The following is a 27,741-nucleotide window of genomic DNA, read 5'->3' on the forward strand; positions in this document are numbered from 1 at the left end:
ACATGGGAAACTGGGAAAGAATGTATTGCATGCCTCAGAAGAATGGACTGTCTGACTTGGGAGCCTACCTTAGCAAGTTTTCCCTTTACTGATCATTTTCTCTTCATTTTCAGATTGTGGCCAAGAAGTACAGAGATTTTGAATTTCCTTCTGAAATGACTGGCATCTGGAGATACTTGAATAATGCTTATGCTAGAGATGAGTTCACAAATACGTGTCCAGCTGATCAAGAGATTGAACACGCATATTCAGATGTTGCAAAAAGAATGAAATGAAGCTGGGCTGTTTTCTGTCTTATTTCTCAGTTGAGTGAGCAAGGATACGAAAACAGTGTGTTTGAAAACAAATTAGGTTTGGGTTCAATTCCTTCAATTTTTAAAAAACTGGTCTCTGAGAGTTTTTTAAATCATTGAGAGCCTGTTTTTCTTCTCTAAAACATTAGTTTAATTTTCTTCAAAATGAAAATACTGCTTTGTAATTACAAAATGAGACACACCTATCTTGATATTTTAAAGCAATATCAGAGGGTGTAAAGAAGGACATTTTAACAATCGCCTTCAATTTTACTCCACTTAATTACCGAAAACTTACTGGAGAACATGTTCCAAATCTTCAGTATCTTGTTCTCTCTCTCTCTCTCTCTCTCTCTCTCTATCACACACACACACACACACACACACACACACACACACAATTTCATTCATATATGGTATTGCATTATTTTATTTTAAAGCACTGGTGAGGGGACCTCTTGGTGATTCCTGGATGATCATACACAGAGGACTTACACCATACAAAAATATTGGGCACCGCAGTGCCAGAGAAGATGCTTGAGGTTAGATTTTAAGGAGTGGGGAATTGTGAAGCCCACAGATGCGCACGCAATGACCAGCAGGAACCGGAAGCCCTGGGTCACCCCCACTCTGCCTCATTTCTGCCTCCAGGATGCCACTGCCTCTGCTTCCAGGAAAGGCAAGGGGGAGGGTGCTTATCCGTGTCTCTGGTTCCAGCTTCCTGTCTTTGCTCCCTCCCCTCTCTTAGAGACTGTGCCTTCAGCAGGACTCTTAATATCTGCTGCAACTTGGAGAACCTCCCTGCCCTGAAATGTGAACCAAGCACACTTTGGTTCCTTCTCCGGGCGGCTCTCTCTGAGACCCAAGGCTGCAGTCCCTCAGTGCTGGTGGTATCGTGTGGGGATAGCAATACTTCTCTGCCCTTCATTGTCTCATCTAGACATCAAGCAGGGAAAATCCAGGGAGATTAAATTCATGGTGACAAGTCCTGGGCAGTTCTGGTAAACGGTCCAGTTAGGGAGGGAGTAGAAACTATTGACTCAAAAGAGTTTCTGGCTGATCTGTGGCTTTGCCTCCACCATCCCTAACCAACCTCTCATCACAGCTTTGTGTGTGGGCTGAGTGCTGGCCTTAACCCTAGGCGTGGAAGAGAAAATGTGAGGTTGTTTAGATACTCATCAGGACCTCACAGGAGCTGAGACTTATCAGCCAGAATGTGTTCTTCGGACAGTCGTACACATCTTACAGAAAACCCTCCTTGTAGAGTTGGTTGTGGTATGTGTTTGATGCTATAAAGCTCATTTTTAATGTGTACACCTGCTCTAGGGACGATTCGTTTGAAAGAGAGTAAGATGCATTAACAGAAACTATCCTGGGATTAGGTGAAAAATGTCTAGCAAAAGAAACAAAGTCTTTAATAGAGTGGCCTCTTTCGCTCTTCGATTATGACTGCTGCAGTTTTACCCCAGCAGTCAGCTGTCTTTGTCAACCATACGTTTTTGGAGATTGGGTCTAGCACATGTCACCCTTGTCCACGTTGTTTCACATCTGGTTAGGGGGCAGATTTTAAAATGTAGTTTTGTAATGTTACATTTAAGCATGATAAATGATTAGACTACCAGATGTTACTAGTGCTAACTTTGTATTCTTAGACATTAAAATGATTGACATAAACTCTTTGTGCCTTGAAAATGAAACAAATTATAAAAATGTTTAAATGGAACCAATTTCTTTTGGGTTTTATTTTTTATTTTTTATTATTTTTTGCATTCCCCATTCTCCATTTAGGTTTCAAGAAATAAAATGAATGGTATGGGCTTCTTTTAAAATGGTGAGGACAGGCCTGGCATACCGGCATAGTGGCTCATGTCTGTAATCCCAGCACTTTGGGAGGCCGAGACAGGCAGATCACCTGAGGTCAGGAGTTCAAGACCAGCCTGGCCAACCTGGTGAAACCCCATCTCTACTAAAAATACAAAAATTAGCTAGGCATGGTGGTGGGCACCTGTAGTCCTAGCTACTAGGGAGGCTGAGGTGGGAGGATACCTCGAGCCTGGGAGGTGGAGGTTGCAGTGACCTGAGATCACACCACTGCACTCTAGCCTGGGCAACAGAGTGAGACCCTGTCTCAAAATGAAATGAAATGAAATGAAATGAAATGAAATGAAATGAAATGAAATGAAAAACAAAATAAAATAAAATAAAATAAAATAAAATAAAATAAAATAAAATAAAATAAAATAATGGTGAGAGCAAGTTTGAACCTGAGATTATGGGCATTTGAATTAGAGACAATCCATACTTCAGTTGTGAATCACAAAGACATTTTAAAGGAACCTTAAAGAGGCCTCCAAAGACACCCATGAACAGTCCTTGTCCAGGTGACTGGCATCGACACCCTGCTGGGTGTTCTTGTTCTACTTTTACGTGGAGTTGTAGGAAAGGAGCTGGTTCTGGGTGGTCTTCCCCAGCCCTGTCCCAACTCTGCCTTCAGCTCCGCCCCCAGCCCACACCTCTTGATTCTCCTAAAAACCTACATGTGTGTAAGGAGGTAAGAAATATTCCAGAGCTGTTCTGCTGGACCAAAATCTTCATTACAGTGTGTTTTAAAAAACAAAATGCATTTGTTCTTCAAGAGATACCATACAAAATGTAAACATGGACGAATAATGAACAAATTCTTCTTTTCAGGCTGTGTGGAAGTTTTTCTGGACGGAGAGGATTCCATTCTCAATTCTAGTTGCCCGAGAGGCTTGAAAATTAGTTCATAAAAACCCAAACTTTACCTTTTTTTTTATTTAATTGAGATGGAGTCTCGCTTTGTCGCCCAAGCTGGAGTGCAGTAGCTCGATCTTGGCTCACTGCAACCTCTGCCTCCCAGGTTCAAGCGATTTTCCTGCCTCAGCCTCCCAAGTAGCTGGGATTACAGGGCACCACATCAGGCTAATTTTTTTGTTTTTAGTAGAGATGGGGTTTCACCGTGCTGCCAAGGCTGGTCTCAAACTCCTGAGCTCAGGCGATCCACTTGCCTCGCCTCCCAAAGTGCTGGGATTACAGGTGTGAGCCACCACGCCCGGCCTCCAAACTTTCCTTAAGAACACAGAATGTCCTAAAGCAGGCTGGAAGGGAACATGAGAGCATCACAAGGTTCTACTTTGTGGATACTGCAGCATACGGAAATGCAATGACAGAATCCGCCCAGAAGAGGACTTCCAGAGACCAGAGGTCTCAATCATTTCCATTCTATAAGTCTATCTCTAAGAATTGATTATATGTTCAAGCCCTTCACCCCCAAGATAGGCGGACAGACAGACACACACACACACTAGACACACATACGTGTATACACCAATTTGTGACACCATTGTCACACACTCTCACATACTCATAAGCACACTCCCACAGACAGACATTCATGCACACCCTCCACCCCCACCCCGCATGCAGGATGAACTCCTTCCCCTCTCACCCTCCCCCAGTCGTAAGCAGTAACTCACTCTTAGCACAACCCACCCTGCCCTGAAGTTCCCCCTTCCAGTGGTTCATAATTAGGCTTTGGAAAATTTTAGATTAATGGCTTTTTTTTTTACATTTTAATTTTTTTTGAGACTGGGTCTCACTCTGTCGCCCAGACTGGAGTGCAGTGGCGTGATTTCGGCTCACTGCATCTCTGCACCCCATCCCCAGTACCCACCACCACAGGCTCAAGCAATCCTCCCACCTCAGACTCCTGAGTAGCTGGGACCACAGACACACACCACCACGCCTAGCTATTTTTTTTTTTTTTTTTGCATTTTTAGTAGAGACAGGGTCTCACCATGTTGCCCAGGCTGGTCTCAAACTCCTGAGCTCAAGCAATCCATGCGCTGTGGCCTCCCAAAGTGCTGGGATTACAGGCATGAGCCACCATGTCCAGCAGGCATTAAAAAAATTTTTTTTTTACAAGAAAATCTCAACCCTTCTTTTATTTTACAGTTAAGAGAACCAAGATGTCCTTCATTCTAAGCACACATAATTAACAAAGCCCTACATACATGAAATGGATGCATTGGGGGATGCTATTCACATGACAAAATGACTTCTCTTTCCATATATGGGTGTAAGTCTCAATTATCCTGTGGCCAATTTCCCTTCACACATTGGTATTTTGGTTTAATAAATTACATGCATTTCAGGCCATGGCCACTTTGTAAGGGATGTGTGTGGCCTCTGGTCACAAAGGGACTGACTACACTGTTCCTCAGGGCCTTTGCAGGTCTGGGGTGTCAGGAAGCCCTTTCTGCTTCTGGGATCTCAGGGACCCAGCAGGAGTGGCACCTGCCATTGCAGCTGGTGGATTGACACGGTCATTGTTCCCATTGCAGAGGGTTCTGGTGGAGTCCTCTATGAGCCTTGCCTTGAAGGAGGCCATTTAGGCAGGCAGAGTCGAAAGCTGCCTGGGGAAGTGGCGGGTCAAGTCATGGTCCAGAGGAAATTGTGTTCAGCAGCATGGAGCTGCATATTTGGGAGGAGGAAGCCATTTACTTAGGTTATAAGGCCTGGGATCGGGCCACCAATGGGATCTTATCCAACCTGTATTCATTTTACCCTTTTGTGGGACTGCCTACCCTATTGTTCAGTCCTACCCTATTGTTCTGGCTCCCATGGCCCCTGGCTCTGTAAGCTTGTCCTAACAACATTCTGGAAGAGAAACTATTTTTCTTGATGACACCTCCCTCTCCCATCTCTTCCTCGATCCCCTTCTGTAGTGGATTCTGTGATGTACTCCTGGGTGAGTGGACAAGGACAGTAGCCATCAGTGGCTGGCCTAGGATTCCCCATGGTTCAGCCGATCTGCTGGGCTCTGTCTCCCTGCAAAGGCCTCTTTCCAGGTGGCTGACACTTGCGAGTCTGAGTTAGGTCTGTTTCTGAAGCTCTGACCTACACATGTAACCAGCACCTGCTAGGACATTCTGAGGCTCTTTAAATCTTTTGGATCTACCCAGGTTCCAGGAGAATTCCAGGGCCCGGGGACAGAACCGTCCTTGCTTAGAATGCTTCTTGGTTTTGTTAAAGGGGATGTATTCAAATAGCATTAAGGTTTTTGTTTTCCTGCTTGCTTTTTCCTTCCTGGCGTTAAGATGTAACAAGTTCTGCCGGGTGCAGTGGCTCACACCCATAATACCAACACTTTGGGATGCTGAGGTAGGAGGATTGCTTGAACTCAAGAGCTTGAGGCCAGCTTGGACCACATAGCGAGACCTTGTCTTTACTAAAATTAAAACAAATTAGCCGGGCAGGATGGCGCCTGCCTATAATCCCAGCACTTTGAGAGGCTGAGGTGGGAGGATTGCTTGAACTCAAGAGTTTGAGATCAGCCTGGGCAACATAGCAAGGCCTTGTCTCTACTAAAACTAAAAAAAATTAGCTGGGTGGAGTGGTGCCTGTCTGTAGTCCCAGCTATTCAGGAGGTTGAGGCAGGAGGATTGTTGGAGCCTGGGAGATGGAGTCCACAGTGAGCTGTGTAGATGGACTCTTGCTCTGTTTCCCAGGCTGGAGTGCAATGATGCGATCTCAGCTCACTGCAACCTCTGCCTCCCAAGTTCAAGTGATTCTCCTGCCTCAGCCTCCCAAGTAGCTGGGATTATAGGCACTCACCACCACACTGGCTGATTTTGTATTTTTAGTAGAGACGGGGTTTCTCATTGTTGGCCTGGCTGATCTGGAACTCCTAACCTGAGGTGATCCCCCACCCCTGCCTCAGCCTCCCAAAGTGCTAGGATTACAGGCATGAGCCATCACACCCGGCCCACCTCTGGCATATCTGAATGAACATTTAACCTCTCAGTCTCACTCTTCTCATCTGGAAAATTGGAACAATATCTCACAATCATGTAGAAGGTGGTATCTTAGAAGTTCTCTATAAAAGCTGCAAAGCAGCTGACTGTATACAATTTAATTTTTCTGGAATTTGTTCTTCTTATGGGGTAACAGCCCTAAAAAACGTAATTTGTCAAAATGGACAGGGTTTGAGTTTACGAGTGTCTAAGACCTTGAACCTTCCTCACAGAGGCAGAAGGCGGTTATGCTCTGAATTCCTGGCTCCCTACAACAAGGCAGCACCCTGTGATATTGGTCATTACTCAGTTGTCCCCCTCGGCCGGTCACTGGGGGCTGTCCAGGGCAGGTCCAGCTGTCTGTCAGGCACAGTGAACTGGACAGCCTCCACAGTGGGCTGACAGCTCTATCTGGGAGCCCTCTAGTCTGGCTTGGAGACACTGTTTTCAGTTGTGTGATATTTACTTGAGGCTCTCAGGAGTGGAAAAGCAGATCAATCAATGTGGGTGGTCTCCCTAATGTCAAAGCCCTCCTCCCACCCAGGCCAGGCTCTCATCCTCACCACTAGGTGGCGCTTCCTCCCATTCCCTGTAGCCAGGTGGGCTTTACCTTGACAGGTACTATTGGGTTGACCCCCATGGACTGATGCCCACACAGCCTTGGGACTTCATCCAAACCTAGCCCAGCCCTCTGGGTGTCAGCCCAGGGTGGCCCACGCATCAAAGGGTGGCCTTTCCGGGCCAGAGAAGCCAAGCGTGAAATGACCCTGCTGGTCTCAGCCCCAGCTTCCAGGACGGCCACACCCAGGCTGTGTTTTCTGATGTGCTAAGGAGTGTCTGCAGGAGGAGGAGGAGCTCCCCTCTGTCCTGTGGCTTTCTGTTTTGCCATGGAAATACCTTCAAGGACAAGAAGGCCCTTGTCACGCCTAACTCGAAGACAACTTGCTCTTGGTACCTCTCACCCATTTTCTTTTTGTGAAAACAGACAGTGTTGGGGGAGTAGCTGGGCACCACCTCATGTACTTCAGAAGTTGGAGAGAACTCTCTGACCACTCTGAAACCTTCCCTCTCCAAACCCAGGAGCCCATGGCTCAGAGATGGGTAAGGAGCTGATGGAAGGGGCAAGGTTCTGGATCCTGAGGTCCGAGACTCCTGCTTCCTTTCCTTGCTAGCCCTGGCTCTTGGGGCCAGCACACCTCCCTGGGCCCACCTGTCCTCATAGCTCCTGCCCCAGAAGGCCCAGGGCAGCCTGTGCAGGTGGTCAGTGGGAGAAGGCAGTCTCCCCGCTGCACCCCATGGCTGTGTCCCCCAAACTTCCTCTATGGCTCCTCGCCTGACCCTGAGGGATGGGGGCGCTGCACATGGTGGGGTCAGAGGGTAAGGAAGTGGGGTTCCGCTGCTGGTGGGAGCACAGAGATCACTGCTGGACACTCAAGCGTCCATGGGGATGAGCCCCTATCCTATGGCCAAATTAATTGTTCCCCCATTAATTGCCAAGCAATCAATACATCCATTTATTTGATTTCATTGTATAACTGTATTGAAAACAGTCCGGGGTCTGGACACCTGGTCCCTCTGGCTGGCCAGGTCTTGGTCCTTGGACTACCATCTAGTCTGTGCCTCAGCTGTTTTGCTGGCTGAGAAGAAGAAAAAAGTGATGATTTTACTGTGATATGTTTGTGACTTTTATCACAATGCAGTGCTCAGCTCCTCTGTCACCAAAGCCTACCTTTTTTCTGGCTCTTTTTTGGATCCTGGAGGGCTGACTTAAGCAAATCCTTAGTAAAGGAAAGAACCCAGCAGCCTCTCCTCAAACCAGTAGGCAGCTTCCATACAGCCTCACAGACAGGTGGCCCAGGAGTGACTTTATCCACATTTTTCTGCTCAGAAAAACAAACCACCAAATCTAAAAAAGAGATTGACCTTGAGGTTTCCAGGAACAGGACTTAAAGGGGTGTGGAGAAGGGGTGGGGAAGGGGTAAGGAAGAGATAGGGAGGAAGGAAGGGAGGAAATGGGAGGAGAGAGACTCCATGGCAACGGCAGAGGAGATTGTGGCACAGGCCACAGGTGTGTAAGCCCCATAGACCTTCTGGGAAGCTGCAATTTGCTTTGTGATGAGATTTGTGAATAGGGGGAGGCCAGTGGCCCCCAGACCTGCCTGGACACTCTTCCCGGACTCCAGCCAGCCCTTTCTTGTCATTTCATGTGTTAAATCATTTAAAATGTATAGAGTAGTATATACTTATCATTTGGATACATTTTCCCCAAAATGTGGACTGAACTAAGATAAAAGAAAAAACACAAGTTATTTTCCTAAGGTTCTTTGCCTCTTCATTTTTATATGTGTCACTGACTGAGCTGCAGAGGCCTGTTTCTGGTCACATGATTCCTTCTCATGATCTTGGGATCTCCCACATTTGGAGCCAAGAAAGAGAGAAAATGAGATAGGAAGGTGCCTGGAGTTCTTGGACAGTGCTGAGTGGTAGGACTTGCTTTGCCTCCATTGGTATCTTTCAATGGCTTGTTTTTGTTTTTGTTGTTGTTGTTTTTCAGCTCATAAATGACTTACTGGTCCCAAAAGACAGTATTGTTCACAAGAAAAACTTTGGGTCTTTTGATGGTAGTTCAGGCGCTGGGCAGACCTTTCTGCTGCATACTTTGGCACATTTTCACCAGCTTGGGCAAGGGAAAGAATTTGTTGTTTCGAGTACAGTACTGGAATGCATAAAGATTAAAAAGAAGGCAACAAAAATGCTCTTGCTTTTAAAAAATGTGCAATTCCAATGAGAAAATAGAATAGTGGCCAGAAAGAGACCCAAGAACAAGTATCGTGGAAACCAAATGAATAAGTGGGCGAAGTATACACTTAAGAACTTTTGCAAAGTTGCCGAGGCTGAGGGGCTGCTACCACAAATAAAGTAATGAGAGTGATGATATACATTTGCAGAGCAGTTTACAGTGTGCAAAGCCTACACAAGCACTGTGTCGTTCCAGAGGTCATGAGTGTGTGTCACTCACTGATGAGGAGGTTGTGACGGCAGCCACCTCGCTTGCCTGGTGGTCATGCAGGTCTTGCCTAGTAGTCATGCAGGGGTCTTATTTGCTTCTCCCTCATGAGTAAAGGGTGTGGGGCACCACAAGGACTCTGTTCTGCCAACTTTGGGGGCCTTGCCCCATCTAGAGGGGGCAGAACGTTTCAGTTGGAGAATTGGTGGCTTAAAGGCTTACTGATGGCAGTAGACGGAGGGAAGAGTGATGGCTGAAGGCTCGTCTGCCTGGAATCTTTCATCTGAAAACTAAAAACTTGGGCTAGATTTTTTTTTTGTTTTTTGTCTCTCTCTTTTTTTTTTTTTTTTTTTTGGGATGGAGTCTGGCTCTTTTGCCCAGGCTGGAGTGCAATGGTGCCATCTCGGCTCACTGCAACCTCCACCTCCCAGGTTCAAGCAATTATCCTGCCTCAGCCTCCTGAGTAGCTGGGATTACAGGTGTCTGCCACCACGCCCAGCTAATTTTTTTTTTGTATTTTTAGTAGAGACGAGGTTTCACCATGTTGCCCAAGCTGGTCTTAAACTACTGACCTCAGGTGATCTGCCTGCCTCAGCCTCCCAAAGTGCTGGGATTACAGGTGTGAGCCACCGCACCCAGCAATTGGTGGGTTTTCATTCCTGGCTCCATATGAGAATCATCGGTGTGGCTGTAAAAACTACTAATGCCTATGACACACTTCAGACCAGCTGAATGAGAATCTCTGGGCTTGGACATTGGTGTTGTTAAACTCTCCCCAGGTGATTCTCAGGGGGAGCAGGATTAACAGCCATTGGCTGGATGCTCTGTAAAGTGATTTCTAGCTCTGTCTAATGTCTGGGGGATGGGTTAAAACAGCATCTGGTGGGACTGGGCGACGAACAGAAGTGATAGAGAAGGCTGCACCTACCAAGTATTTCTACTCTTGGGGAAGTTGGTTGAGATTAGCTCTGGGCGCACATATAAAACCCAGTGTACTGGATTATACAGAGTCCCCTCAAAATTCGTGTCTACCCAAAGACTCTGAATGTGATCTTATTTGGAAAAAGGGTCTCTGCCAAGGTAACTGGTAAGTTTGGATGAGCTCATGCTAGATTAAGGTGGGCACTAAGCCCTATGTGACGCATGTCCTCAAAAGAAGAGAAGACACACAGACACACACAGAGGAGAAGGCCATGTGAGAACAGAGGAAGAGGCTGGAGTGATGCAGCCACAGCCAAGGAAGGGCGAGGATGGTCACCAACCGGCAGAAGCTGGGAGAGGCAAGGAAAGATTCTTCCTTCCAGCCTTTGAAGGGAGCACAGCCCTGCTGACACCTGGATTTGAGACTCCTGGCCTCCAGAACAGTGAGAGAATAATACGCTTCTGTTGTTTTCATCCACCCAGTCTGTGGTATTTTGTTACTGCAGCCACAGGAAACTAAGCCACTCGGTAAGGTTTGGGTCTCAAGACAGCTGAATCACCTCGTCATTGCTTAGCAATGAAAGATGCTAGAGCTGATAGCACAGCTAACATGAGAGGAAAGCTGGGCTGTCAGGAGAGCTGTGTCCTGTTTCCAGGCACAGCAAGGACAGCTGGGTTCAGACTGAAGCAAGACCCGAAATGGATGCCCTGTTGGAGAGCATTGGTGATTTACCCTACAGGCAACCATTGGCTCATTTTGTGCTACAGGAAAGGTGAGCAGATGGGAAGTAGCTGAAAGACTTGAGTTTTGGTCTTGCCTCTGTCACTTCTGGCTGTGTGGCTCTGGGAAAAGCAGCTAATGTCTCTGGACCTCAGTTCCTCATTTGTTAAGTGCAGGAACTAGATGACATAATCTGCTATGCAGTTTCCAGCTGTTAAGTTCTAAACGCTAAGCCAGAGAGAGACAGGTTTAGCATCAGTAATAACATATGAGAATAGTCCCCCAGGCATAGGAATGCATCATGCTCCTTGCAGCTCATGCCCCAGGTCTGATTCTGAGTTCAGACATTGCTAGCCACTTGCTTTAGGGATTTTTGGTAGACATGTTGCTTTCTGGTACAGCTACTCCTAAATTTAGGACATTAATGTAGTCTGTGTCTAAATTAGCAATGTCTAATCATTCGATTGTCTAACATCAAAGGATTAATCACCTACAAGATCTAATGAGCTTCTTTTCCTAGAACACATTCTACATGATCAACCAGACCTTTGATGACCCCAACAGCCAGAGATCTTATGAGCCTTTCCCAGGACCCCCACCACCTGCCTCTCATCCATGCAGCAATTCATCAGGCCTGTATATAAAACAAGCCTTGACTTTGAGGATTCACCTTGAGGGGAAAAGTGGGTCTAGAAAACATGGATATGGAGAAAATGTGGGTACGTTTCCTCTCTGCAGTTCCTAGGATGTCGCATTAGTTTTCTGTCATGTAACCACAAACTTAGTGGCTTAACACAACTTGTATTTATCATCCCACAGCTTCCTTGAGTCAGGAATCTAGGCGAGGAGTAGCTGGGACTTTTGCTTCGGGTGTCACTGGCTAAACTCGAGGTCAGCCCAGGGTTGTGATTCTGATGTGAGTGAGATTCGAAGTCTGCTTCCAAGCTCACTGGTTGCTGATGGAATTCTGCTCTTTGCATTTGTGGGACTGAGGGTCTCAGCTCTGAGAGACCACTCGCTTGCCACACAGCCTTCTCCATAACATGGCAGTTTGCTTCTTCAAGGCCAATGGGAGAATGTCTCTGCTGCCTCAAATCTTTCCGACTTTCTCCGTTTCTGACCTCTAGACCTTCTTTCAAAAGGCTCACATGATTAGGTCAGCCCCTCCCAGGATAGGTAGTCTCCACTCTGATTAACTTAAAGTCAACCGATGAAATCAGGCTGATAGGGGATAATGTCCCAAAACAGTCAACTGATAAGGAACTTCAGTTACATATGCAAAATCCCTTCCCCTTTGCCCTATAATGCAGGCTAATCAGAGGAGTGGTATTCCATCGTATTCATAGGTCCTACCCACCCTCGAGGGTGGGAGAGTTACACAGGGCATGAACACCAAGGCCCAGGAATCTTGGGGTCATCTTCAAATTATCCTGCTAGAGATGAGTCTGGGGATCTGTGATAACCCTTCCAGGGGAAGTCGCCCTCATCAATACACAAGCCAGGGTTGAGATCAGCTGGGATAGTAAAACCTCACTTTTTCAGGGGGTCCCAGGCCATACCCTAGCATCAGGTGTCTGCTGCATATCTTCTTGGCAAGTTTCCTTGAGACACTTTTACTTCTAATCCTTAGGCTCAAACACCTGTGGAGCGGGAAGTATGGCATTTCCGCGAAGTCCTCTTGACTTGAGTCCCAGGTCCCTCTGACAAAGCAGGAGTTTGTTGACCTGCTAGTCCTGGCACCAAATGTACCTATTTACTCAGCTTTTGCCAGAGGGTGGGGAGAGAGGGTGGAGAAGAAGGAAGGGCTCTTTTGCAGTTGGTCAATGAAATGCTTTGTTATAATTTTGCTTCATGTTGTGCAGGTGGCCAAGTGTCTTGGGTACAAGGTAAACAGATTTCTCCCCCTTGGTCTTCCCTGCATTCAGTCCCCAGCCAGTGGGTCACATTCAGAATAATAATAGGAATAATAAAGGTCACAGTCCCTGCTGCTGTAAGAAAGATTATCTTTAGAAAGAAACAAATAGTCTGGGAGGAGTTACGTGGAGTTTAGAAAAACAAAACAGACACCAACTTGTCCTGATTCTCTGTGAGTTTCATCCCGTGTTATTCATCAATGCCTGTTTGGTGGTTTCATGTCTTGATGCATCTTTTATTGTCCATCCTTTGGCCATGGATACTCTTGGATGATGCATCAAACCAAGCATAGTTTTTCAAGTGACAAGAGTTGTGGGGATAATGGACTGGGTTTCTCTTACTTGTGTTGCAAGACACTTCAGAGTCATAAGCCTACGGATTTTTGTTTGTTTGTTTGCTTTTTATTTTTTGAGATGGAGTCTTGCTCTGTCACCCAGCCTGGAGTGCAGTGGCGCACTCTCAGCTCACTCAACCTCTGCTTCCCAGGTTCAAGCGATTCTCCTGCCTCAGCCTCCTGAGTAGCTGGCATTACAAGTGTGCACCATCATGCCCAGTTAATTTTTATATTTTTAGTAGAGATAGGGTTTCACCATGTTGGCCAGACTGGTTTCAAACTCCTGTCCTCAAGTGATCCACCCACCTTGGCCTCCCAAAGTGCTGAGATTACAGGTGTGAGCCACTACGACTGGCCAAGCCTATGGATTTTAAATTACGAGGACATGAAAATCGCTGTCAAAATAAGAACGCTGAGTTGGAGAGTGGAGGTAAAAATGTCACTCTGGGTTTGTGTGGACACAAGAACCAAGAGAGGCCTCCTTGTAAAATGAAACATGTCAGAGCAGACACTACGTGGCCAGAGACCTAGTCCCCAGACCTCAGACTTCTTAGTGCACAATGAGAAATCTGGCCTACACGTTGTCTCCAGAGTTCTTTTTTTTAGCAGTAAAATGCCTTGATTCTATATGACACACAATTCTCCACACAGCCTGTGTAGCTATGTCATGACTTTACAACTTTCATAAGAGCCACTTCCAAATAAGTCATGAACATCTCACAGCAGGAAGAGATGGCAGGTGACCAGCTCTCAAGTTTGGGTTGGTTTGCTAATTTTCACCAGAAAATCATCTCCTGGGGACAGATATTAAATAATGCAATGCCATTATGTCTTAAAAAATTAAATTAAAATTTAAAAAATACTATTTACCATTCTGGTTCTTGAGTTTTTATGTTCTGGGAACAAAATAACATTTTTATTTTGTTTTGAGAGAGATAAAAACAACCAAGGCATTCTGACTTTGTTCTCAGTAGCTATCTCATTATTAAAGTTGAATGCAATAAAAGCAGTTTCCTTGGTGAGAAATGAATATATGGTTTCAACCACAATATGTCTTCACAGATAAAATGATTCCTATCTGTATTAATAAGAACATTTTCTGGGCCTCCCTGTGAATGTGATCTTCACAGAATAACATGTTCCCACCTTGTCCTGAGGACCAGATCCAAGAAATGTTCTCCACGAGTATAGGTGAGATTTGACTTGGCTCTGTAAGACATTTCCGGGTAGGAATAATTACTAGACACCGAAATGGCTGAAATGAGGGGGAACGACGTTTCCTCTCAGGAGATCTTGATAAAGGAAACATCTCCTCTCTCGGAGATGTCCTAGGTTGGCCCTGTCCGGCAGCCAGAGAACTGGTTAGATCACCTATCAGAGTGATATCAATGATGTTGATTTTCTGTGAAAGAGCTTCTACTCGGTATTTCTGAGAAGTCTGACAATTCATTTCCATTTTTAAAGAGGAGAAGCTTTTGAAACGCAGTGGCACTCACAGGCAAAATTTGAAACGCTACCCTCAGGGACCACCATGTTCGCAATGCCAAGGCAGGGGCCTTTTGCACCTGGAATACTAGGCTTCCCTGTTTTGGTGAAGCCCCTGAGGTGTTTTCCTGATGGGCTTGATAGTGCAATGGTGATTTCCCACCCCAGGAAATCTAATCCTTAAATCCCGAGATCACAAGAGCCTTCTCTGTTTGCTCAATGGAGTCTGGCCAGTCCTGGCTCTCTCCCATGCTGTGTAAAAGTTTGGATCTAGAACTCAGAGTCTGATTATTCGCTAATGCCTGAAGCTCATTTTTGTGGCACCATGTAATATCAGGAGAATGGCAGGTCCCAGCTGCCCACTTTCCCTCTCCCCATCCTCAGGCCTTCAGGATATACCGTTTATACATGTGCATATGTGTTTGACAATATGAAACATACGGATTTCAGATCCCCTCTTCATAAGGGGAATGGAGGAGGAAGTTGAAGTGGATGAGAATCCAGGAACAGGGTTTAGCATTGGTGAGAGTGGCAAGATGACTCAGTCTTGGATTTTTAATCAAGGGATCTTAGTGAAGAACAGCATATCCTTTGTTGGGCAGAATATAAAAATGCAAAACAGAAGCCAGTAGAGATTTAATAAACAGAGCAATCAGTAGGGCTTGGCAGGGAGATGGGCACACAATGGCTGCTTTAACCTGGTAGAGATGAGCTTTGGTGCGATGGTGAATGTTGGTTTCCATTGACATTGACTTGAGTTGACTCAGGAGTCAATGAAGAACATTTTGGATCAATTTGGATGATTATCCACAAGCAGTAATCCTACAGTGTTCACTGTTTTCCAGAACTTTTAAAACAATAGAAAGGGTTATTCAGGGATAAAGCATTTTTCCTTTTTCAAATGCTTTCAGAGTTTGGCTCACCTTATTTGGGTGAGGCATATAAGTATGGTTAGTGTGGGTATTGAGGCTACCAAACAGTTGTAGATGTTTCTTTAAGACCAATCTTACCAGTCTTATTCCCCATCTTTCTTTCTCCTACCTCCTGAACTGGGACTCAAAATGACTGGGCAAAACATTGCGTGGCCTTGGGCAAATTGTTTGATTTTGCTGAATCTCAACTTACTCACCTGGAAAACACCTTTTCTACCCAGCTCTTGGAACTGTTATGAGAATGAATGGGAAAGTGCATAAAAATTGGAAATACTAGATACAAGCAAAGATTATGTTTTCTCCTGGTTTGGGGCTAGGTTTTTGTATACAATAAGTGTTTCCATCAGAAGCAATTGACACCAATGCAGAGCCATCAATAGGAGGAGAATTTGCATTTGGACAACTCCTTGAAGGATGAAGAAAGAGGCTTCAGGAGGCAGAGCAGCCTTATGGGCAGAGAGCTGAGTGGAAGAATCAAGTCAGTCTGTTGTGGAGGAGGCCTTGAATAGGCCACTTTTTCTCCTCAATGCCAACAAGAATCACACCTGTCTTTTTGAGATTGCAAGAGGAAATGGAAGAAAAATTATCTTGACCTTGTCTAAGCAACAGTGTCAAGGGGTGCTATCTCACTCCAAAATACTTTTAATGTTAACTGCCTAGCTCTGTCCCAGATACCGTTTGTCCCTGAAAAACCTCCTCAGGAAGAGCCCCTCGACCTGGGAGCCTGGAAGGAGGTTCTCTTTGAATCTAGGTTGCTTCTGAAGCCATAGCCAAGCACAAGCCAAGATGTGGATAAGGGGACCCTTATCAACATCTAGTCTGATTGACTTCCTCTAGTTGAAAACGCATGGGAAGGGCCTTGAAAGGCATAAGTCATATTTCTGCCTTCTGTGCTTTTAGCTGTTCCCCATTGTATCATCTAGATTGTGAGTCACTGTTAAAAATGACCATAAATCTTTAGAGAAAGCAAGTATTAGGTTGGTGCAAAAGGAATTTCAGTTTTCGCCATGAAAAGAGATGGCAAAACCAGCAATTCCTTTTGCGCCAACCTAATATTACAAAGCAGCTGGGATTACATGAGAGAACACATAGGAATGCAAGGTGTAACACACGTGTTCATTATGTTGATGGTTATCTGGTTAGTCACTAACTTTCTAAATTAATTGAGAAACTTTTTTAAGAACCAGAATAGAGATGGGCGTGACTAAGAGAAAATGTTTAAGACCAAAGAACATCAACCCTCCTTTTAACCCACTAGTTGAGAGCTACACTACTTACCTCCCAAAAATGGCTTTTGTGTCCAGGAGCTCCAGGCCCTGAAGGATGCTGCTTTGCTTAGGAAGAAAGAGTGGCAGACTTCTCATGGGCTGATGTGCCAAGAATGGCTGAGGTTGGGTCTCAGTGGATGGCAGGGCTTGCAGGGAAGGCAGCAGACAAAACCCTGGAAATCTGGCTCAACACAAAAGTTAAGAATGGGTCTTACATGAAATACATTGGGTGTCAGTGTCAAGAATGCCAAGGCCCTAATTTTTACATTATCGTCTCCTAAAGACAACCATGGGGGCTGGCTTGTCATCTCTGTATGTCAATATTCCATATTTGCCCTTTCCTTTTGAGGATATGGAACCAGTCCTGGTAATTCTCCCCACTTGAGTATGTCCGAGGACGGATACCTCTTCATATACTCAGTCATGGGTGAAGATTACATTCTTGAGTGAAACGCATCCTTGGAGATGCCAAAGAGAAAAACAAAGGTACAATTTTTTGATCTATTCTAGAGACAGGAGAAGGACCCGTTTTCTATATCTGGTCCCAGGATCATCTCTCTTGGGGCATTGGCCATGGAGCCAACACTGGGTTCTGTGGAGCCCGCAACTTTAGCTTCCTAAAAAACTCCTTCAGGACTTGCTGCACAGGGACAGCATCTCAACTTAGATCAGGCTCTGAGTCCATACTAGAATCTGGTCTGGCCTCCTTCAAGGGGATCTCCTGCCCCTGTGAGTTTCCTGAGTCCTGGCCTCAGTTTTCTCCTCTTTTACTGAGCTCTTTCCTGGCCCATCACTTGGGGCTGATCTCTGTGAGTTCAAGATTTGAAAAGTGGTTGCTGTTCTGACTGGTGCCTTTGCTGCCTAAGATTTCATGAAGATGATAGCACTGCAGATGACACAAGGAAGGGTACTTTAGACCTTTTCTGCTCAGATAACTTTGGAGATAAAGGCAACATTAGCAATTATACAAGACAAATTTCAGCTGAAGAAGCCCAGAGAGCTTAAATTACTTGCCCTAGGTCCCTTGGCCACATACAGCAATGCTGGAACTAGTATTCAAACCTTGTGATTCATAGTTGACAACAATCCATGCGTGGTTGGGGTTCTCGAAATGTAGTCCTTGGACCAGCAGCATCATATCATCTGGGAAAGCATTAGAAATGCAAATTATCAAGCCCCATCCAGACCTACTGAGTCAGAAGCTCTGCAATCTCTGCTTTAACCAGCCCTCTAGGGAATTCAAATACTTGCTACGGTTTGAGAAACAGTGTTCTGTGCCGTGCTAAATTAAACCTTTTGTGGGACAGTTCAGTATTTTTCATCATTTGTAGAAGAGTTGAGTGCTTACCAATGATCTCTATCACACTTGATTCTTTTATTCATTTCTACACTTAATCTTGAATGCCCATTCCCATATTAGGCACCATATGGATCAGAAGGACATATTGAACAAAGATCCTTCCTTCAAGGAGCTCATAGGAGTCACAACATAGACCAAGGAGGCTTTGATACTGAGAAGTAAGGCAAAATATGACGGAATTTTGGAATGATGCAGACACCACGGGCGATATGAGTTTGCTAATGCTTTGGCCTATAGAGATGAGGTTGGGAATATCAATAGGAGAAGAGAATTAGCAACCAGGTGGTAGAAATGGGCCTAGTGAGTTGTAGAAAGAATAAGGAGATTGACCAGGTTGGAGGAGAGGCCTTGTGCTCTCTTAGGAGATTTATGAGAAGTTATGAGACTGAATTTCTCCCTAAATTATGAGGACCCCTAAGGTACTTGCCTCAGTGACTGAAGAGAATGGGTGGTTGGCTGTAGATCCACCATTCGGTGATTGATTCTGGAAGCATCTGTCTGGTAGGGAGGGCGAGAAGAACTATTTTCAGACTTTACTCTGGTACAAGCCTCAAGCAATTTGTCATGACTCAGGTGGTTGGGAAACAAGTGTGCTCTCAGGACAGCTTGACATGTCACTCAGCAGCCTCCTGGGGCCAAGCTGTTCTTTTAAAGGAAGAGTTTTGTGTTGACTCTGAACTTGGAAGAATCCAAAAACAGCAAGTGACAACAGAAGGTTGAGTCATGAGTGCATACCGCATCCAGGCCAGGCTTTGCTTCCAAGCACGAAGTAGACCATGGCGTTGGGTTGACGTTTTCACATTGTAACCGTAAATTCTCTGTGACCCATTTCCACTGCCTGTATCATTTTATAGACCTGTATAGTTGCATGGAAATTAAATTGGTATTCATTATAAGGTGCCACCAGATGCCCAAAGGCCTTCTAGATTGTCCAAGAAAAGCATCTATCGAGCATCCAACTCCAGCATATTTTATTATGTTTAAATTTCTGAAACATAAGCACTTGTGATATATGTGACAAATATAGTTATCAGCATTTTTTCTTAATCAGGAAACTTTGTTTTCAACCATGCTGGATAAGAGAGAACTTACTGCAGTTACAACTATGCATTATTTTTGAAATAATCCCAGCTAGCATTGATTTACTGTGGTCACAGGCCCTCTATGTCTGCTTCAAATTCATTCTCTGTGTCATGCCCACAATTATCCTCCTACGAAGGAGGCATTATTGTTGTCTCCACTTACAGGTGAGTAAACTGAATCACAGAGAGGACAAATAATATCTTCGAAGCCATGCAGCAAATAAGCGATGAAGACTGGATCATACATACACATGTGCACACACACACACCATTCAGAATCATGGTGGAAGATGGAATAGTATGTTGGAGAAAGATAAGGATTTCAAGCTAACGTCTGGTAATTGACAGGCTGAGCAAGTTGGGGAAGCCACTTTTAAATCCTAGAATATTGGTTGCCTAATCAATAACACAGAAGCCTTTACTCATAGGTTAATTTTGAGGAATGAATGAGATAATATGTTGAAAAGTTTTGTTCTATAAACTAACCTCCCCAACAGCCATATCCAGAAATCGAATTTTTACTGGGAGGTCATGAACATAGGCTCAACCTCGGAATTTTCTGCTCTGACTTCCTTTTCCCAACTCGAATGGGTTGATTATGTTCCTAACCCATTAGTGCTTAGTTGATGATACGTAATCATCTGTCTGCCCAGGTAACCTGGTAACTCAATTAACCAGCAGTTTGACATGGAACTTTGTGGAGTGCCAGGCATGGTGATGCAGACTTGGACCTGCTCAGGGCTCTGACAGATGGACACCAGCATCCCTGAAAATAAAGATGTCTTGTCTTTGGGTCTGTGTGTTTGGTTACCTAGTTGCTTCTCTGCTCTGTGGAAGTCACATTTTCCTCTGTCTCTTCAACAGTCCCTGCACCCGGTGGGTCAGTGCCCCGGGGACATACCATGGCTTCACATCCTTGTTTTTTCCAGCATCTGGCATCTCAGGAAGCCACTGACTAATTCCCTTGGCCCCATCCCACCCCTACTGCCGTGCACTCATTGGCTTCTAGCTTTTGATGAATTCAGGGAAATAGGGGTTCCCGTGAGCCCATGTTTTTCAAGAGCTCATAGTTTATGCCTGGAATGCAGATTTGCACTCCAGCTTTCTGAAATGAGCAGAACTTCGGAAATACCCTTTAGTGGATCCTGTCTGAACTCTAAATGTCTCCGAGTTTGCTTTAGAGACAGAAGGGAGAATTCTTGAATTAACAATGAAGCTCCAGTGAAATCCTCCTATGGAATTTGAAATGTAGCCATTATGACAAATAGGCTTTTACCTTTTATTGTGGTAAAATATACATGCATAAAATTTACCATTATTGACATTTAGTCCATGCACAATGTTGTGCAACCTTCACCACTGCCTACTTCCACAACATTTTCATCACCCCTAAAGGAAACTCTGTACCCAATAAACAGTCCCTCTCCATTCCTCCCTCCTCCTGGACTCTGGCAACCACTCATCTGCATTTTGTCTTTAGAGATTTGCCTATTCTGGATATTTTCATCTAAGGCAGATCAGTTTGTTCATTGAAAATTTTCAACATGCTAGACATTCACATTGCTTCAAAATCTAAAAGTCTAAAAGGGTTTCCTTTCTTTTACTTCTCCCCCATCGGCCTGGGCTCCCTTCCCACAGATGACTTCTTTGTTTGTGGAGGCATATGTATTCTAGAATATGTGTATCCCAATACAAACAAATATGACACACACTCTTATCTCCCCCTTTTATTACATGAAAGGTAACATCCTATACACAATATTCTGTACCTTGTTTTTCAGCCACCTTACAAAATGTCCTGGAACTTCTGTCCCCATCAGTACACAGAGAGCTTCCTCATTCCTTTTTAAAGCCGCATAGTAGTTGTTTGAATCTAGCATGCTTTATTTAACTAATCCTTTCTTGATGGACATCTAGGTTTGTTTCCAAGTATTTGCCATCACCAGCAAAGCTGCCATGAATTATCTCACACACATGTCATCTTAAAAGTGTCTCGGCAGCACAAATTCCCAGAAGATGAATGACTGGGTCAGAGGGCATGTGGATTTGTAGTTTTGTTAATGATCACTCTGTTTCTTTCTGCAGGGGTTGTGCCAATTCACATGCTCACTGGCGGTACACAAGAGTCCCACAGCCTCCACCAAAGAGTGAGTTACCCAACTCTGCATTTTTCTCCCAATCTCAGTGTAATCGAATTTGAATATCTATTCCTATGTTTAAGAAAGAGGATTTAAAGAGTTCTGGTTTTGTCTCCTAAAAGGAAAAAAAAAATGCATCTGGAACCTCCATGTTACTTGTTTACATTTAAGGATAAATGAAAAATGCAGTAATTTCCCGTAATGTCCACAAAATCAGTGACTTGCCGAAGTCCACACACCTTTCCCTATCTGGAAAGAAGCTTCTGTGGAAGGCCTCTGTTTCCCAGGATACCTCACTTCCCACCGTCCCAGGGACAGGCTGTGAGATCCCACTCCTCCACACTCCCCACTGTTGACTCCCCACAGTCAGCTCCCCTCTGAGTGCCCAGCCTGGGCTCCAGTAGTTTATTTAAAAGCATGACGAGCCCTCTAATTATGGAGATAAAAGCTGCCTGTGATGCAGAGCAGGGCTTGGGTTGAAAGGTCTCTTTTTTGGCTCTTTCCCATCTCATTAGAGTTGCGGGGGTGGCTGGTCACCCCAAGGTTTAATCCTTGGAGGCAGTGTGACAGCAAATGTGGCAAGAATCACAGCTCATTGATTGTTCCATTAAAAATTTCTACAGGTACCTGTAAAAGTGCCTTTCAAGTTGCTTCAGTCTGAAGAATCTTATTGCTCCTAAATTGAGGTCAATTAATCCCCTGAAAATGTGTGGCATTCACAATTTGATGTCATGGCCTCCATGTGAACATCTCTCTCTGCATGGATGGAGGAAGCGAACAGCTCTTCCTTCTTCCTGCCTTTCCCACTTCCCCTAAATCTAAAGAGCAATTCTCTGCCTTTGCGAGCATAGGCTGGTGAGAGCAGGGAGAGCAAGACCACACTGCTCAGCAGCCGTGTTTACCATCTGATCATCATGGAGGGACAACTGAGTGCACAGTGTCCTTCCATCCATCATTGCAAGACCAGGGAAGGAAATTTGGCCCTCGGGCAGGCTGTAGCCCAGGAAAAAGGCTATCCTCAGAAGGCCAGCCGCCTTCTCTAGTTTGCAAACAGCACAGATTTAGAGCTTGCGTTCCTTCTCATCCCAGGAACCACATATGAGCACCTCTCCCTGCCATGGTTCTCACGATGCCTGGATGGTCCTTATTTAAGTATTGAATCAGGAGAGGGCAAGAGGCTTCACCCAAGACGGCTGTGAGGTGGGGATGCTTGAGCTGCCCGCATCTGCTGGTCAATGTGTCACCTCCATCCTCTAACCCAGAGAGCATTTCTCTTCATTTCCTCTGCTTCTTGCTCCCTACATTCAACACTCTGACCTCACTCTGCCATCTCTCAAAAGCTAACCCCAGACTCCTCTTCTCAGTACAGGGCTCTGGTGACCAGGGAGACTGGGATGTGATGAGCAGGGCCTTGGGAGCCAGTTATAGAGAGTTAAGTCCTGGCTTGGTCATTTACAATCCCTGAGTACTTTAACTTTTCTGAAATGTAGTTTCTTCATCTGCAAAATGGGCTAGTAATACCAATGTGCAACAGCAATAGGTGAGGATTGAAGGAGACATTTAGGAAGTCTCTGGCCCCATACAGAGTACTCATGGCAGCTGTGAAAGTGTGCTTCCCGGGTGGAGGATGAGCCCATCTACTGGTCCTTTGGATCCACTAGTGGGTTTGCTTGGAGGTCACACTTACCACAGCTGCTCCCAGGTGGTGACTGGGCCCTACAGGGATGCGAAGACAGGCCCATTCCAGAGAGATGTGGGATTTCTCTGACAGACAGTTGTGGCTCAAGGACTCTCCCTGAGCCTTGCTAGAACTTTCTTGGAGCTGTGCTGCAGTGTCTAGACAAGCTTCCTTCCTTTCCTCCTCCTCCTTCCCTCTGACCTTCACAGGGCCAGACCTGCACCATAGCTTGAGGGTTCTCCCACCTTCTTGGCCCCTTCCAGACCGTGTCTCCCAAGAAATCCCTCAGGTGTCTAATCCCATCTTGGTATCTGTTTCTGGAAGACCCAAACTACACAGCACTCAAACCATTTTAGTTCCATCTCCTTTTTGCTAAATATATAGTTTAAAGGCTGTGTTTAAGGATTACCTAGAAATCATTTTAGGGTATAATGACATGTTATTTATTTATTTTAAAATTATGTTTGCTCCACTTGGTGAAAATTTCTGTAAGTACCTCTGAGATCATGGATCCTGGGGCTTCACTGAGCATCAACCTTTGGGGAACTGCTTCTAATGCTGATAAAAGTGTCAGGATCTTTCCTTGTTGACTGGGACTGGCATTTTTTATGTGAGGGCAGGAGAACAGCGTTAGCATCTCTGCAGGTGTTGTGCTGCCCCAAACCAGCATCTTTCTTCACAGGGGGGCTAGAGAGGGTGGGGGGCCACTTCAGGCCCTAGAACCTTTGGGTGCATGAATAGAAGTGCCATCAGCCTCTTTGCGGTCTCAGAAGACAGTACTCTTTTGCTCTATCTGATTTTTTTTTTTTAAGGAATCTTACCTCCTTGGTGCTAAGTGGTGACAGATACTTTGACACTTACTTCTTTTGCCCCATAAATCAGCCCTGGGTCCTGGGCAGCTTAGAATCATGAGACCATAAAAATATGAAATGACAAAGCATGGAGTGGTCTTAGAGATAATTAAATTGACCTGCCTTACTTGATACTTGAGGAAAGAGGCCTAGAGTACATCAGAAGTGAATCTACCCTTGACTTCCTTTTTAAAAAATCCATCCATTCATGCATTCACCTACCAGTCCATTCATCCAACCAGCCATCCATCTATCCATCCATCCATTCCTCCATCCACCCATCTAACCTTCCATCCATCTACCCACTCATCCATCCATCCATCCATCCACCCACCAAACCACATAATTCATCCACCTACCCATCCATCCATTCAACCATCCATCCATCCACACACCAAATTACCACATAATTCATCCATCCACCCATTTACCCACCCACCTATTTACCTGTCCATTAATCCATCTATCCATCCACCCACCTATCTACCCATCCATCTATCCACCCACACATCTACAAATCCATCCATCCATCCATCCATCCATCCACTCATCAATTTGCCCCATCGTCCATCCATCCATCCATCCATCAATTTACATACCAGAGGTAGACCCTGAAAATAAAAAGATGAATAAGATGTGGTCTCTACCTCCTGGGGCTCTCCCAGTCCAGCATTCCCTTCCATTGCTTTAAAGGGCTCAATTCAATCTTGTCTCTGAAATGGGCCATGTCACCGTTCACTAAGCATCTTCCAGTGCCAGCCTTTCAGATTCCATCAACAACACATTGGCTGTGGGCATGCAGGTCATGAGAACAAGGTCAGCAGCATACGCCTGCCCATTGCTCCCCAGAGGAAGGAACTCCAATGTCCAGGGTCTGGGGGATCTGTGCTTCCAGCTTGGCAGGCTCTCCCAGCAGAGAGCAACCACTTTTAAACTTCTGCTTCTCCCTACTTTCCATCCTTCTCCCTTCTCTTCCTTCTCCACATTGTCCTGGTAGCTTACCATTCCCAATCCTGCTCCCCTCAAGCACGTTAGCTTTGAGGCCATCCAGAGATCGATTCATCTCATGGTCCTGTTTTTCCCATTGCCTTTCACATCAGAGACCTTTTCTCTCTTCGAGCAAACCAATTTCCTTCTGTGATTACTGCTTGGATAGAAAGGACTCTGTTGTGTGGTGTGGGGAGTTCAGGAGGATGGTGGGCACTGAGCCATTACCAAGTTTGCACTTGTTGCCTTCTGGCCAAGGACCCAGAATGTTTATTCAAAGGAGCAATTTTTAAATAAGACACTGACACCAGTATCTGGTCTAAGAGAAGAGCAAGAGAGAATAGTGGGAGACCTGGAGGAAACCAGGTGTTCCTCCAGCCAGGGAAGCTGTAGAATCCTTGTCGTGGACTCCTTTCTGTCACCTCCACCAACTGAGTGAGTAGCTCAGACTGGAGGCCCCTCACCAAGCCTGTGGGACCAAGTGTCACCTGAAGGCAGGGGTTCTGCATAACAGGCCACCAGGCTACCAGCTGAGCAATCTTGGACTAGCCACAAAATCTCTGATTGTCAAGGCCTCCGCCTGCATAATAGATCTATTAACAAAAATATCTGCGATGGCCAGTGTTTGGATATATTAGCACACAGGAAGATAGTGCTCCAAAAGTGCTTGGTAACAAGAGCCTGGTGCATATTACTTGTAAAAGTAAGGTTTAGCCCAACTTGGTGTGTTCTCATGCCGCCACAAATGCCACCACTTTTGCACACTCATGTACCCCCAGGTACTGCTATACCGGGACCACCCCCAAGACATACTACATGCCTGACTGTGGTGGTCTTTGAGGGAAAAGTTGTTTTCAGAGCAGTGGCTCTTAACCTCTTGAAAGGTTCTCCTCCAAAACATGCACACATGCTGGAACACACATGGACCCCCTCACTGAGGTGGGAGAATTGCTTGAGCCCAGGAGGTCAAGGCTGCATTGAGCTATGATCTCGCCACTGCACTCCAGCCGGGCAACAGAGCAAGACACTATTTCTAAAAAATACAAATAGAAATAAGTATGAAAAAAAGAGGGAAAACCCAAGGATGAATGGATGGATTGTGTGCCAGGCATTTAATGCATTCTATCTTGTGTTCTTCACTCAAACATTCTAAGGACTCTTGACCCCACTTTGCAGATGGGAAGTCAGAATTTGTCTGAAGGTCCATGGCTGGTGAGCATCTAAACAAAGATACAAATTCAGGTCTGTGGGGTGCTCAGCTTTCCACTGTGCCTGTCACTCCTGCTTCTCCCTTTGTATCTGATCAGACCAAGTTCTACGCAGTAGGCTCAACACACACCCAGGAGCACCGGCTACCCCAGGAGAGGAGTCGCCAGGAGGGGAGAGCTGTTTCCACCTTCACCTGTTTCTCGTTCACCTGCTTCTTGCCTTGCAAGTCTCCAGACAGGCAGACTTCAGAGGGGACCTCCTGGCCTATCCTCTAGGGTATCTTGCTTCTGCCTGCTGTCATCTTCTAATACCCAAAAATGTGTCGCATCCTCCCAAAGCTCGCGCTCTCCCTGCAAACCCTGGGCCAAGCCTATTATTATTGTATATATTTCACTAAATCAATCTTTTAAAATTCTACTTAACATAGGTGCCCAGCCTAATGGTGGCCATCTTTTAGAGGAGGAAATAAATGTTCAGAGAAGTCAAGTTCCTTGTGCAAGCGGGATTCGATACAGGGGACACAACCAAGAGACCTCTGAGTCCCTCCACACATCCATGCTGTGTGTTGACTTGCTTACAAGAGTCCCCTGTGTCAGAGGCTGCCTGGCAGTGGGGACATGAGCCTTTCCCTTAGAGGGAAACATGAGATTGGGCAACAAGGGTAGTCCTCAAGGTTCTACCTCGAGACTCCAGGACGCTGGACATTGGAAATGAGGCCACACCCTGGAGGAGCATTGTCGGCTAAAGCCAAACACCATTAGCGTCTGAAGGGGATGTGGGACCCATCTAAGGTATCACATCCCTGATCACCCACCATGGGGTCTGCAGCTGGAGAGGGTCCCCCCAGGAGGGGCTGGAGCGGGGAGTTCTCTGCCCTGGGAGGCAGGTCTCCTGGCCCTTCACTGGAGTGATCTCTTCTTTTCTGATGTCAAATCCTGATCTAAAGGGAGGCATCTTCCTTCTTATGGCATGGCCATGTCTCCTGTGTTCCTTCCTCAAGCCAAATCCTTTTCCACGATGCCTTCCCCTCTGAGCCCTGTATAACCCAATAGTGCAAATATTCCCACATCCCCTACCCACAACAGGGGTGAGCACATTGCAAATGTTCCGCCGGCGAATCAGCACCTGCCTGGAGGTGTTCTTGGTGTCTGCGTCCTGCCTCCAGTACAGAGGACCTCAAATCCATGATACTTCACCTGGTGCTCCCCAGGAAAGCCTGGCAGAGGACCTGACGATTCCCAGCAAGACCAAGCACTGCTGTCCAGGGTCAGCCACGGTCACTTCTCTGCAGCTGTCATCCGGGCACAATCTCCAAATATTTCTAGCCATTCAGACGTTCACTATAATCAGAATTAACGCATGTAGAACCAAAGAGCCAGACACATGGGTTCAAACCTGCCCCACCATTTACAGTGAGAGCTTAGTGAGTCACTTAACCTGTGCCTCAGTTTTCTCACCTGTAAAAAGAACATAACAGTAACAATACCATTGAGCTGCTATGCAGTGGATGAGCTTCTATATGAAAGGTGAGTGAAAAGTGTCTGGATGTGGTGGTGTCAACCTTTCCCTGGGGTGGTGGTGGCTGATCTGTGGCACCCCACATGACAATGTCTTTGCCATGGCAGTAGATGCTGTTAAATCAGGCCCTGGGTTTGTCTTGGCTTGACTTGTTTCCATTTTCAATTGAAAATTAAATGTGGATAGACTTCAGCCTGACTCGGTCTGCTCCCTGGACCTTGGCCAGT

General features: G+C 45.7%; 1 protein-coding gene and 2 long non-coding RNA genes across 4 annotated transcripts in view, besides 1 other annotated feature; 2 read left to right on the forward strand and 1 right to left on the reverse strand.

Annotated features, from left to right (window-relative positions):
• CLIC6 (chloride intracellular channel 6) overlaps window positions 1–2,016 on the forward strand; it is a 49,230-nt gene extending 47,214 nt beyond the window's left edge. For both annotated transcript variants that reach the window (NM_001317009.2, NM_053277.3), the window contains one exon: window positions 114–2,016. In NM_001317009.2, coding sequence (NP_001303938.1) covers window positions 114–275 — 162 coding nt within the window. In that variant the 3' untranslated portion in view covers window positions 276–2,016. The remainder of the gene's footprint in view (window positions 1–113) is intronic.
• Window positions 7,083–7,860: an enhancer, noted in NCBI's record as "H3K4me1 hESC enhancer chr21:36095588-36096365 (GRCh37/hg19 assembly coordinates)". NCBI's record gives its function as "activates a minimal SCP1, AML or CMV promoter by ChIP-STARR-seq in primed H9 embryonic stem cells {active_cell/tissue: H9 hESC(primed)}" and the evidence as "EXISTENCE:reporter gene assay evidence [ECO:0000049][PMID:30033119]".
• On the reverse strand, window positions 7,600–20,975 carry LINC00160 (long intergenic non-protein coding RNA 160). Its single transcript, NR_024351.2, has 6 exons — window positions 20,903–20,975; window positions 18,479–18,549; window positions 17,754–17,834; window positions 16,702–16,872; window positions 7,839–7,989; window positions 7,600–7,746 (listed from the first exon to the last, which is right to left on the reverse strand). It is a non-coding gene; the product is annotated as a long intergenic non-protein coding RNA 160 (long non-coding RNA).
• LOC107985515 (uncharacterized) lies at window positions 10,630–27,731 on the forward strand. The gene is made up of 3 exons (XR_001755016.1): window positions 10,630–10,810; window positions 21,219–21,280; window positions 26,424–27,731. It is a non-coding gene; the product is annotated as an uncharacterized LOC107985515 (long non-coding RNA).
• The last annotated feature ends 10 nt before the right edge of the window (window positions 27,732–27,741 follow it).

This window comes from Homo sapiens, chromosome 21, assembly GCF_000001405.40.
Source record: "Homo sapiens chromosome 21, GRCh38.p14 Primary Assembly".
Lineage (NCBI taxonomy): Eukaryota > Metazoa > Chordata > Mammalia > Primates > Hominidae > Homo > Homo sapiens.